Source organism: Homo sapiens, chromosome 10 (genome assembly GCF_000001405.40).
Source record: "Homo sapiens chromosome 10, GRCh38.p14 Primary Assembly".
In the NCBI taxonomy this organism is placed as follows: domain Eukaryota; kingdom Metazoa; phylum Chordata; class Mammalia; order Primates; family Hominidae; genus Homo; species Homo sapiens.
Genome location: NC_000010.11, coordinates 2,317,208 through 2,331,261, shown reverse-complemented (window position 1 = coordinate 2,331,261; position 14,054 = coordinate 2,317,208). Strand labels below are relative to the sequence as shown.

The following is a 14,054-nucleotide window of genomic DNA, read 5'->3' as shown; positions in this document are numbered from 1 at the left end:
CAGTATTCGATTTTCTGTTAAAATGCAATTCAAGTTTTAAAACGTGTAATTAGCACCAAGTAAATAGCAATAACAAAATACAGGCTCTTATTTCAAAGATTATGGGATGACATGTTGCTCTATTGGAATTTATGAGAATTTCAGATGTGCAAAAATGAACGTCTTCTCATTCATATCTGGTCATCTCTTGCACATATTCAGACAAACTAGATCATGAGTGAAGCTGAGGGTTCATTACTGACTGCTCAGTGGTAGTGTTTCATGGTAGCTAAGAAATTGGAATATTGTTTCTATTGTACTTTCTGACAAATGATTGGAAAACCAGAATCGAACATGGGTCTTAAAATCTATTATAGGGTATGTTCATTACAATAATGTAAAGTATATTCTTAACCTCAACAGATTTCCTTCAAGGAACACTGGCATCTTCAAAGTTAGGTACGGGAGGTAGTTCCCATTTCACAGTTCACCCTCTGCGTGGATGTTTGAGGCCCTTAAATTTCAATAATCATGATTCAGAGTTATGATTATATTTTCAAACAGACTCACATAAATGCCCCTTCCCACCTGATTCCAGCCTCTGTGAGAAATCTAATTAATGAACATTAGTGGAGGAAAGCTTTAAAATGAGTCATTTTTTAAAGACTGTGAAAAGCAATCTTTATTCCATGTGATTTATTTCTAGTTTAAGCTATAGCACAGTGGAAAGAAGGAAATCACACATGTGCACTTATATATCATCTTATTTGAGATACTTCGAATACATTTATACCTATGATATTTGTTAGATATTTCCCTGGAGTCTAATACTGAATAATCACACATTTATATACGAAAGCTATTTTACACACATTTTCTGTTATCTTGTGCCTCAATCTTGCACTGATCACAAAACTCATGACATTTGAAAAATTCGGAGTCACAGCTTCCCCACACATATATATATAAACGCGATTTCTTTGTTTAAAAAAGTATGTATGTAGTTCAACCACAGAAAAGAAGAGAAAAAAATAAAACGCTGAAATCCTCTCTGATCCTGACTGCCTTTTCATCACCATCGGGCTTCCTTATTCATCTTGGCAGACAAATCTGTCTCCGAGTCTCCTGGTCTCATAAGCTCGTTCTGGTTGGCTCAACACCCTGCACTCTGAGGCTACGAGCTTTGTCAGTCTCCAATGCCCACTTCTGTAACACGAATGGGCCAGTCTCAGCCCTTCTCCTTCTGGACCTTCAATAATATTTCACCTAGTTGGTAACTCTCTTCTTTCACTTATATTTTCCGCCCTTGGCCTCCAGGAAAACACATCTCCCTGTTTTGTTTTTAACTTTTAATGTGAAATTCCCCAAGTTCAGTCCTGACAGCTTCTCCTCTCTTCTCCTCCGTGTCTTGAAGATCACGTCCAGTCTCAAGGTTGTGTTAGCATTGATACACCAGCAATCCCCTGAATTCTCATATGTCTACTCTGGACCTTTTTCACAAAACCGAGACTCCTCTACCCAACTCAAATAGAGACCAATGAACACGTTCCTGGGAGGTTTTACACACACCTCAGCCTGGTCTAGAGCTGAAATCCTGCCCTCCCAACCCCTTCCCTCCGTCAGAATAGGCAGCCCTCCTTCCTCTCAGAACAGAAACCTGGAAACTGCGATGCTTTTCTTTCCACCACAGATCCCAGTACATGTGGAATCCAATATCAAATCCTGTTGACTCAATTTTTAAAATGTTTCTAAAATCCCAACTCCTCCTGCCACCTCTTTGCTACCTCCTGACACAAACCGACATCCCTTGCCCCTGGACTGAGTCTCCAAATGATCTCTCTTCCTTTCGAAACCCTTGCACGCTTGCAATCTACACTCCACACAGCAGCCACAGGATGCTGGTCACAGTCAGCCACGCTGGGTCACCTCCTGGACCACAAGGGCTCACCCCTGGCCCCTTCTTTCCCTGACCTCGTCCTCTGTGATTCTTTCCTCCCTCGCTAAGTGGGGGGCGCGGCAGCCTTGCTGTGCTCGCACCGGAGCAGGGCTTCTCCCACAGGGCCTCTGAGTTCTGCCTCTGGAGTTTTGTTTATCCCGGAAAGTCCCAGCCACCGCTTTTGTTCTGATTTATTTTTCCTTATAGCTGTCACCTCTAACGTCTTACCTATTGCATTTCTCTGCCTTTCGTCTGACTCCTTCCATCAGAATATGGGCCCTAGGAGGAAGGACGTGGCTTGCTGTGTTCACTGTTCCATCCTCAGCGCCGGCGGTGGGCCCTGACGCATCTCAGGTGCTTTTCTTTGACTCTTCATGAGTACGTTAAAATGGAAGATGGAATGAAGCCATACATAACTATTTAGACTCCATCTGAACCCTGCAGTGAAGGATTGGGTATTGCTAGGTGCAGGGACATCAACCGACCTTATGAAAAATGCCAAACTCTCGCTCAAAAGCAGCATGCATCCACACGGAAAGAAGGAGGGATATGGTGAGTACGTGCACAGACGCTGGAGAAACACTGCCTGTGTACAAACCCCGGGCCCCTGCGACTTGCCTTGTGACATCGAGCAGGTCTTTTAACTGCTCTTGACTTAGTTTCCAATTCTATGTAAGATGGGGAAATTATCATATTTACTTTTGGAGATTATTATTAACATATATATGATTACTTATTATACAATGTTTGCACAACTGTATTATAACAGTGTATTATAATAGTGTTTATTACCTATATTATTATGAGCATATATTATATATTATTATGAGCACACATATAATAATTATAGAATTATTACACACGCATATACTATAATTTTATATATTACCTATATTATTATGAGCATATATATGGCATATTATTATGAGCATACATATGATAATTATACAATTACACAGGTATTATAATATCTATTACTTATATTATTATGAGCATATATATGACATATTACTATAAGCATACATATAATAATTATACAATTATTACACAGGTATTATAATATTATGTTACCTACATTATTATGAACATATATATGACATATTATTATGAAAATACATATGATAATTATAAATTATTACACAGGTATTATATTATATTATATATTACCTATATTATTATAAGCATATATATGACATTATGAGCATGCATGTGATAATTATACAATTATTACACAGGTATAGGTAATAATATAGGTAATATGTAATATGTAATATTACCTATATTATTATGAGCATACATATTACACATTTTTATGAGCATATATATACAAGTTTTATATTATATTATATATTACTATATTATTATGAGCATATAAATGCACAATTCAGCCCTTTTGTAAAATGACAATCCATGAGCGTGTCTGAGATTTCATGATCCTTCCCAGCCTCAGCAATTGAATACATACCATTCCTAGTCATTTTTGATCGATCAGGTTGTTGATGATATGCGAATATGTTTATTTTCTGAACCCTCCTCTTTACCTCTCCTGCCTATTTTATTAGCATTCATATGAATGATCTGAGTTCTTGGCTTTCATCGAGGCCTGGGAGTCTGCGTTCACCCTAACTTTTTAAGACTTAGCACATTTGCACCAGGCCTACCTCACCTTGCGTTTGGCATTCTCATACTCTCCATGTTCTTACCTGGTCTCTGTTCTCACACTCTTAAATAGTCTCTGTTTGATCTTCTGTATCCCATCCGGAGTGTCACCTCCCCCAGGAAGCCTTAGAAAGGTCCAGATTGACGTGGTGTGTCACCCGCCTGTTTCCACAGCATGCTGTTCCTACCACGACCGTGGCCCAGGACGTGTCTCAGGCTTGTGGATATTTCAGCTGTCAGTGCAACTGGTCAATAACCTCCTATGGGGGCAGACATCACATCTCTGCTTTCTTTGATTAGGTGTTCAAAACAATGCCTGATACATTGAGTGAACACAAAGACACCTTATGCTTGTTTAAAAATTAAATAAATGACTCACACAGAGAGTGACGCAGAATTTTAGTGGAACTTTGCTCTGTAAACTGCACATCTAGGAGCTGGCCTCAAGTTTCTTACTCTAAATTTTCACATATATTTATTTGTATGTGAGATTAATGTGGGCTAATAAATAGTTCAGCTCTTTCATAAACCAGTCACCCTTCTGCCTTGATCAGTCTTCTGCTGCCTTCGGCTTGTTAATATCACTGACTGAGGAAGAGTCATGCTCATTTCCTCTCTGCCTGGGCAAGGTGGTGCCTATTCCAGAGTCCAACACTCAGGTCTACTTCTGTACCTAATAAAAATAGCTTTTTTCTAGTCTAGGCATAACCAAAGAGAGTTCGTTCCAAGGGTTGCCCTTTAGTACCTTTGTAAAAGTTTTCATTTCTAGTTTGTTTGACAGGGAATTAGTTTAGGTTCAGATTAAAATTTATCCTACGAGGATACTTATAATGAAAGAAAAAAGAAAACTGAGCGATATGATGAAGACCAGACCTTTGCCCTTCAAAAACCTTTCTAAGAGGACGCCAGTTCTCAGAAAAGGATGTTCTTTCCGACATCAATTGGCAGGCAAATTCTGATTTGGAAATTGAGCATTGCTATCATTTTATCAATCATTGTTTCACTTATTATCATTGTTTGGGTGCATTCTTGCAAGAACAACAGTCGAGCTCTTTACGGAACATTGCATCCCAGTAATGTCCCCTGTACTTAATTACAAAGGGCTTTGCAAATGATTATTTGGTGAGACTATTCCCCCTAGAATTATGCGCATTTATTTTTAAGTAGTCTTCAAAGGTTTGAAGCTAATGGTTTTTGTTTGTGGTTTTAAAAACCCACATTAAGAAGGCCCGTTGTGATACTGGTTATTAGAAAAGGCCACCTGTGGGAACAGAAAGAGTTTTATGAAAAAAAAGTGATAAGAAATACAAATTCAAGTCTTACCTCTTTCACAATGATGATGTTAGATTTGAGTCTTTTTTTTTTTCCTAGAATCTTGGTTTACATGATATTTAAAAAAAAAAGAGAATCATACTCAGAAAAACTTCCTAGCTGGGCAATTGTTTGGATCAAATGAAAAAATACGTAAGATACTAAATAACAAAAGAGTCACTGTGCAAATGTTATAATTGCATTCCTAACACTGTTGCTTTCAAAGATCGTTTGTAACATACAGCCCTTTTTCGGAACTCTTCACTTCCATTTATTAAGTTTTGGGCTCAGTAACTATCACTTTGTTTGTGTGTTTTCCCATAATAGGTCACTTTTTGGCTAAGTGAGAGGCTTGAGGTAAAGTGTTTGTTTTAGTTATAATTAGTACGACAGTTTCATCTTGTAAACAGATACTCCAGAGTGCATTAATTTCAGGCATTATCAACAATAAGGATTTTTTTTTAAGTAACTTATTGAGTTTAATTAATGAACCTTCAATAGATAAAATAGCAATTAAACTGAACTACTAAAATTATTTTTAGAAAGGGTAATGAAAAATGTTTATTTAAGTGTAGGATTATTATAAATGGACAGTGCTCTCTAAAGATACACTATATTCCCATGAAAATCATGAAGAATATGGCATGCCTATCTTCTTTTATTGCATTATGCAGATACTGTGTTTTTTACAAACTGAATTTTGTGGCAACCCTGAGTCAAGTCTATCAGCACCATTTTTCCTACAGCAGGTGCTCACTTTGTGCCTCTGTGTCACATTTTGACAATTGTATTAGTCAGGGTTCCCTAGAGGGACAGGACTGATCGGATAGATGTATATATGAAACGGAGTTTATTAAGGAGAATTGACTCATATGATCACAAGGTGAAGGCCCACAATAGGCCTTCTGCAAGCTGAGGAGCAAGGAAGCCAGTCCAAGTTCCAAAATCTCAGAAGTAGGGAAGCCGACAGTGCAGCCTTCAGTCTGTGGTCAAAGGCCCGAGAGCCCCTGCAAACCACTGGTGTAGGTCCAAGAGTCCAGAAGCTGAAGAACTTGGAGTCCAATGTTCGAGGGCAGGAAGCATCCAGCACAGGAGAAAGATGGAGGCCAGAAGACTTAACAAGTCTAGTCCGTCCACCTTCCTCTGCCTGCTTTTATCCTAGCCATGCTGGCAGCTGATTAGATGGTGCCCACCCAGACTGAGGGTGGGTCTGCCTTTCCCAGTTCACCAACTCAAATGTTAACCTCCTTTGGCAACACCCTCACAGACACACCCAGGAATAATACCTTGCATCCTTCAATTCAATCAAGTTGATACTCAATATTTGCCATCACATCAATGATAAAAATATCTCATTTTTTTCTTGTTATCACATCTGTGATGATGATCTGTTATCAGCGATCTCTGATGTCACTATTGTAATTGCTGAACCTCGCCCTGGAAGACAATAAACTTAATGAATGTTGTGTGTGTTCTGACTGCTTCAGATTGTGTGTGTTCTGCTATTTCCCAGCTCGCTCCCTCCCCCAGGGCCTCACTCTTCTCTGAGACAGAACAATATTAAACTCAGGCCAATGACTAACCCTACAATGGCCTCTAAGTGTTCAAGTGAAAGGAAGAGTTGCACACGTCTTACTTTAAATCAAAAGCTGGAAACTATTAAGTTTAGTGGAGAAGGCTTGTTGAAAGTCAAGAGAGGCCAAAGCTAAGCCTCTTGCACCAAACAGTTAATGAAGTTGTGAATGCAAAGGAAAAGCTACTGAAGGAAACTAAAAGTGCTTTTCCAGGTAAGAAAATAAAACAGCCTAATTGCTGATGTGGAGAAACTTTGAGTCGCCTGGATAGATCAGGCAAGCCACAAGATTCCCCTAAGCCAAAGCCTAACCCAGAGCAAGGCCCTGACTCTTAATTCTGTGAAGAATCAAAGGTGAGGAAGCTGGAGAATAAAAGTTTAAAGCAAGCAGAGGCTGGTTCATGAGATTGAAGGAAAGAAGTCATCTCCGTAACATAAAAATGCAAGATAAAGCAGCAAGTGCTGAGGGAGAAGCCATAGCAAGTTATGCAGAAGGTGTGGCTGAGATCATTGATGACTACACTAACAACAGATCTTCAGTGGAAACGAAACAGCCTGCTATTGGAAGAAGATGCCATCTAGGACTGCCATAGCTGGAGAAGTCAATACCTGTTTTCAAAGCTTCAAAGGATGAGCTGACTCCCCCGTTAAGGGGCTAGTGCAGCTGGTGACTTTAAGTTGAGGCCAATGCTCATTTACCATTCTGAAAATCCTAGAGCCCCTAAGAATTATGTGAAATTGGCCAGGTGCAGTGGCTCATGCCTATAATCCCAGCTGAGGCAGGCTGATCACTTGAGTAGTCAGGAGTTTGAGGCCAGCCTGATCAACATGACAAAACCTCATCTCTACTAAAAATACAAAAATTAGCCAGATGTAGTGGCATATGCCTGTAGTCCCAGCTACTTGGGAGCCTGAGGCTGGAGAATTGTTTGAACCTGGGAGGTGGAGGCTGCAGTGAGCTGAGATTGTGCCACTGCACTCCAGCCTGGGTGACAGGGCGAGCCTCCATCTCAAAAAAAAAAAAAAAAAAAAGAAAGAAAGAAAAAGATTTGTGCTAAATCTACTCTGCCTGTGCTCTATAAATGGAACAACAAAGCCAGGATGATAGCACATCTGTTTATAGAATGATTTACTGAATATTTTAAGCTCACTATTGAGACCTACTGCTCAAAAAAGAGAGTCCTTTAAAAATATGACTGTCTGCTGACAATGCACCTGTTCACCCAAGAGCTCCAAGATGAATGTCGTTTTCATGCCTGCTAACACAACATCCCTTTTGCAGCCCAGGGATCAAGGAGTAATTTTCATTTCCAACTCTTATTATTTAAAAGATACATTTTATAAGGCTATAGTTCTATAAATAGTGATTCCTCTGATGGATCAGTATAAAGCAAATTGGAAAGCTTCTGGAAATGATTCACCGTTTTAGATGCCATTAAGAATATTTGTAATTCATGGGAAGAGGTAAAAATATCAACATTAACATGAGTTTGGAAGAAATATGACTTTAAGGGGTTCAAGACTTCAGTGGAGAAAGTAACTGCCCATGCAGTGGAAATAGAAAGAGAAGTATAATTAGAAGTAGAGCCTAAAGATATGACTGAATTGCTGTAATCTCATGATAAAACTTGATAAAACATGATAAAACAGATGAGTTGCTTCTTATGAATAATCACAAATTTTTTTTGTTTGTTTGTTTTTTGAGATGGAATATATTCCTGGTGAAGATGTTGTGAACAGTGTTGAAATGTCAACAAAGAATTTAAATATTGCATTAACTTAGCTAATAAAGTGGTGGCAGGATTGGAGAGGATTGACTCTGCTTCTGAAAGAAGTTCTACTGTGGTTAAAATGCTATTAAATAGTGATACAGGAGCTAGAAAGAAATCATTTAAGCAGATAGTGAGGATGAGAGTCCTCTGTAAGGTTTCCTTTTAATAAAAAGCTGCTCCCAAAAAGCAGCTGTAAAACCGGGCTGCAGACATAGATAAGCAAGCTGGAAGCTTGCCTAGGTAAGTGCTGGAAGCCCTGCCAATAGAATACGGATACCTGGAACCAGGTATATTCAACATGGAGGTTCCGTCTTCTTTGTCTTTTCTTTGTCTCCATGGGTGCAGTACAAAAGCAGTCAACATGGGGGAGGCCAGGTAGAGACCGCATCTGCATAATAAAAGATGAGGGTGGGATGGCTAGCTTCTTCACACACTGTGCAAACGGCACACCTGGTCCAACTAATCTCTCATCCCCTATGTAAATCAGACACCACCTACTCAAGATCGTCTAAAACGCTGTGCATTTTACCACAGAACCGGAAGACCCACTCAGGAGCCCTCTCTCTGCAGGAGAGAGAGCTTTTCTCTTTCCTTTTTTTTTTTTTTTTTTGAGATGGAGTCTCGCTCTGTCGCCCAGGCTGGAGTGCAGTGGCACGATCTCGGCTCACTGCAAGCTCCGCCTCCCGGGTTCACGCCATTCTCCTGCCTCAGCCTCCCGAGTAGCTGGGACTACGAGCACCCGCCACCATGCACGGCTAATTTTTTTTTTTTGTATTTTTAGTAGAGACGGGGTTCACCATGTTAGCCAGGATGGTCTCGATCTCCTGACCTCATGATCCACCTGCCTCGGCCTCCCAAAGTGCTGGGATTACAGGCGTGAGCCACCACTCCCGGCCTGAACCTACACTCTTAAACTCACTTCTTGTGTGTCCACATCCTTGATTTCCTTGGCCTGAGACAATGAACCTCGGGTATTTGCCCCAGAAGACGATGCCGCTTCAAAAGCATCACATGCTACAAAGAAATATTTCATGAAGAGAAGAGTTCATCAATGAGGCCAATTTCATTGTTGTCTTATTTTAAGATATTTTCACAGCAACCACAATCTTCAGCAACCACCACCCCAATCAGTCAGCAGCCATCAACATGAGACAAGATTCCCTCCTGGCAAGATTACAATGATGACTTATTGAAGGCTTAGATCATTCTTAGCATTTTTTGGCAATAAATTATTTTTTGATTAAGGTATGCATATTGTTTTTTAGACATAATGCTATTACATACTTTATAGGCTACTGTATAAGTAAATATACCTTTTATACACACTGGAAGCCAATCAATTTCATGGCTCTCTTTACTGCCACGTGCGTGGTGTGGTGGTGATCCTGCAATAGCTACAGGGTGAGCCTGTACTTACAAAACAATCTGCACAGGTTTCCACACTTTGCTTGTTGAAATGGCATTAGGATCTAATGCACTTATAATCAATTATGTTTTGCATTTCATAAATTCTATTCAGTAAAAACCCACATGTTGGAAATAAAAATTAAGATCTTACTTTTATTAAGAGGAAAACACAGTCATAAATTTCCTACTATGTAGGAGAAAATTATTGGCCAAGGAAACTGTAGGGCCGATATTGAAATTAAGGCATGAAGCAGGCCTGGTGCAAAGCCTCATGTCTGTAATCCCAGAACTTTGGGTGGTCACGGTTGTTGGATCTCCTGAGGCCACAAGTTTAAGACGAGCCTGGGTAACAGAGAGAAACCCCATCTTTACAAAAAAGTTTTAAAAAGTAGCCAGGCATGGTGGTGCATGCCTGTAGTCCTAGCTACTTGGGCGGCTGAGGCAGGAGGATCGCTTAAACCCACGAGTTTGAGGTTGCTGTGAGCTATGATCGCACCGCTGCACTCCAGCCTGGGTGAGGGAGCAAGGCAGCAACTCAAAAATAAGAAGACATCAAACATTTTTTCTTTCTTTTTATTTGTGTAAAATCTGATTGGCTTTCATCTTTTTTTCCGTCAACCTACCAAGTAGTGCTTATTTGTACATGTATCATACCTATGTCTAATTTGATAAACCAAGTCCAGCATCTTTAAATTCACATAAATTGAGAGAATTAATTTTTTTCTGAAATTTTTAAGTGAGAGATTTTAACTGATTTAAATTTGTCTCCCCTTCCTCTCTTCCTTACACACATCTCACTTCACTATTAGCAGAATCTGTTTGTATTAAGTAATGTATTGGCCAGGCATGGTGGCTCACGTCTGTAATCCCAGTACTTTGAGAGGCCAAGGCAGGTGGATCACTTGAGGCCAGGAGTTTGAGACCATCCTGGCCAACACAGAGAAAACCTGTCTCTACTGAAAATACAAAAAAATAGCCAGGCATTGTGGCACACATGCTCAGTTCCAGCTACTTGAGAGGCTGAGGCAGGAGAATTGCTTCAACCCAGGAGACGGAGGCTGCAGTGAGCTGAAATCACACCACTTCACTCTAGCCTAGACAACAGAGTGAGACTCTTTCTCAAAAAAAAAAAAATAAAATAAAAAAGAAATACTAAAAAATAAATAAATGTATTTTTGCAGAAACATCTCTATTATGCAGCCTATCCAAGGATAATGAAATTCAAGAAATGTATACAGAAAAAGAAAGAGGAAATGGAGAGGAAGAAGAAAGCAAACATACCTGGCCCCTCCCACTCCCAAAATAAAAAGCTGAGCAGAGGTGAGAATGAAGGTCCAGTGAAGGTTAGATAAGAGCACACAGGGTGGGTAAAGGGGTTTCAAGAAATGTTTGGTGGGACGAATTATGAGGAAGAACAGGACTGTGAAGCCCCAGGTCTCCCAGCTTAACGCAAGCCATCACATTGCCCACCTCTCCTCTTCAGCAGAGGAAGTCTCTGTTCCCTGCCTTAGAACAATCAACTCTCCAAACAGGGTCCTAATGTGTATTTCTCCAAAAAATCCCTCACTGAATGACATTCTCCCACTAGACACTAAACCACCTACGTGTGTGTGTGTGTGTGTGTGTGTGTGTGGTGGGGGGAGGGAGTTTAAACTGCATTCCCAAAGATTTTTCATTAAAAAGTAATGAAAGCTCAGGAAATTTAATAAGTGCTTAAATTGAGAAAATAAGTCTTAATGGACATAGGGAACAACCTTGTGTCAACTCCCCTGGGAGATGGTTAACCTTTACGCTAAAAGAGGCTGGAAACTTGCAATGTTGACATTGTAATAGGGTTAAGGAAATAAATCTTAATATATAAAATACCGTGTCACTGGCTGTATTTGTATCTAAAGTTTTATATTTAATACATCATATCTCAAAGAGGAAAGCACCTGTTGCCGTATTTGGAGACACGAGCAGGTAGTGCACGGAACTCAGGGGTAAAGCAGGGGCTGATGTAGCCTTTTTGGAACTTAATGTTTCTGAAGTGAAACCTACAGGTTTTGCCAAGTGCATGCATGCAATCTATTTCTGTGTAAGGAAAATAAACTCACCTCAATGGATCCCAAGTATCAACTTTTGGAACAATGGAAGAAGTAGAATAAATGTGGTCTGTATAATTTTTCTGCCTGGAGTCTTCTGTGCAAAGGGATGAGAGTGAAAGAATCCATTCTCAAGCATGGATGTTACGTTTATATCCCATTGGCAGGTCCCTGCATCTGTTTGGACTAAGTGTTTTACCTGCAGAATGAGGGCTTAATGGGTAAGATGTAGATCCATCTATATTATTCTAAGAACATCTCTGTTATTCTAAGATCCAGCTCTATTTCATTCAAAACAGAATGAAACTGCTACTTGGAAGAATGATATTTAATAGCACAAAAGTTAATTATCTGAAATTGAAATAGGTGCAAAAGCAACAAAATATATCTCTTGGTTTTCACTTTGCTCACTCTTCTAAGAAAAAACGATTGCAATAAATAAAAATATCATACAATATTTAAGCCTTACATTATTGCTCATTTAAAAACCAAGGGTGCGCAGTGTGCTGCTTGGGCGAGAGAAATCCATAGTTAAATTGTCAGTATCCGATCAAATGAGAAGTGATTAGACTGAGGTGACCTCACACTATGTTAACGTGATTGAGGTTAAGAAGCAGGGAGTGAGATACTGTAAGTCTCCCTTTTGCATCATATAAATAGCAATAGAAAAGGTTTATTAATGAGTAATTGATAGAGGAAATGATACATAAAGGTAAATTCCAGGGCCAAGCGCAGTGGCTCATGCCTGTAATCCCAGCACTAGCATCGTCTGAGGGGTGACAGAGGAGGGTTGGGTACTTGCCTTTGTGTTATATACATCTTGATACCATTTACCTTTTTAAACTATGCCGTATTGATTGCCTAAGGGTACCATAAAAAAACACGAGAGTCTGGGTGGCTCAAACAACAGAAACGTGTTTCCTCACCGTCCTGGAGGCTGGAAGTCCCATATCAAGGTGTCGGCCAGGGCTGGTTCCTCGAGGCCTCTCTCAGTGGTTTGCAGAAGGCGTCTTCCCTCTATGTCCTCCCAAGGTCCCGCTGGACATGTCTGTGTCCTCAGCTCCTCTTCTTATCAGGACACCCCAAATCACGCCTCAATAAAAATGACTTTAAATGTCTGTGCCTGGAAGAGTTTGAAGTGAATTTAGTTTGAACTGAGCACTATTGAAGTGAATTTTAGAGACATCTCTTCTCTGCGTGGTCATTCTTTCAATTACTTAGAGTAAGAAGAGAGAAAATACAGTTTCCTGGTTAATAACAAGCTCTATGGACCCTGCCTACTCTGAGCAGGAAGTGGGAGAGAGCAATGTGGAGTTTGTCCATTGGCAAACATCTCCCCGCAGGAGGGAAGATGCCATGAGGAGTTGGCGGCTGAGAAAAGCAGCTGCTCCTTGACAAGGTCACCTCCTCACAGACACCCCTGGGCAAACGCCCTCACCCCTAACGTGAGTCCCTGTTCCTTCTCTCCAAGCGACTCACAGCAAATGGAAGGTCCCCCCTGTGCCTCAAGCTCCCGTGACTGGGGTTGCATGGACGGCTGATCCTCGAAGCGTCCTGTGTCCTCCTCCTTGTGCCTCAAGCTCCCATGACTGGGGTTGCATGGACGGCTGATCCTTGCAGCATCCTTTGCACAGCTCCTGTTTTCTAACTTCACTCTTGGAACAATGACCCAAAGCATAAACTCTTTGCAGCACTCAGCAGGTCGCTACCTGCATAACCCAGCATTGCCCAGCGGTATTAAAAGCATGACAGGTCTCACTGATCAAAAATGCGCCTTAGCAATGTTGATGGCTGAAAGCCTGGAGCCCGCACGTGCACCGTTGCTGCCTTCAGCCTGGACAGGATGAGCTCCTGAGCAGCTGCACAGCCCATTCTTTCTACGAGAAAGGAACTAACGGAGGGGTCTGGGGCGACAAGATCTCGCTGTCTAAGCAAAGCAAATGTCAGAGCTTTGCCTTTTCCGAGCTTGCTCCTACTGAGTTAACTCGAACCCGCCCACTCCGAGCTTGCTCCTACTGAGTGAACTCGAACCCGCCCACCAGCACTATTTTGCACGTGTCCAACTGCCCAGGAGAAAGAGGACATGTATTGTAGGAATAGCTGTGGTGCAAGTCACAGCATAGGCTCATTCATGACCACTTAGGAGGTCATTTGTGAGGAATTTGCTTTTCTCCCTTATCCTTTCAATGCCTTTGATTAAAAGAGTTTCAATTTTGAGTTATTTTCATCTCTGGGATCTTAACCATGAAACAGCTATACTTGGTTGCAGTCATTTGTACTCAATTTATAAATAAGACTATTTGGCCAGGGGGCGGTGGCTCACGCCTGTAATC

General features: G+C 40.8%; 1 long non-coding RNA gene across 2 annotated transcripts; it reads right to left on the bottom strand.

The window, feature by feature from the left end:
• Positions 1-6,153: 6,153 nt before the first annotated feature.
• Positions 6,154-12,835, bottom strand: LOC105376349 (uncharacterized). 2 transcript variants are annotated; one of them, XR_930551.2, is made up of 3 exons: positions 12,648-12,835; positions 8,508-8,618; positions 6,154-6,322 (listed from the first exon to the last, which is right to left on the bottom strand). It is a non-coding gene; the product is annotated as an uncharacterized LOC105376349 (long non-coding RNA). The 2 variants fall into 2 exon arrangements; XR_930550.1 differs by lacking the exon at positions 12,648-12,835 and adding an exon at positions 9,150-9,234.
• Between the last annotated feature and the right edge of the window lie 1,219 nt (positions 12,836-14,054).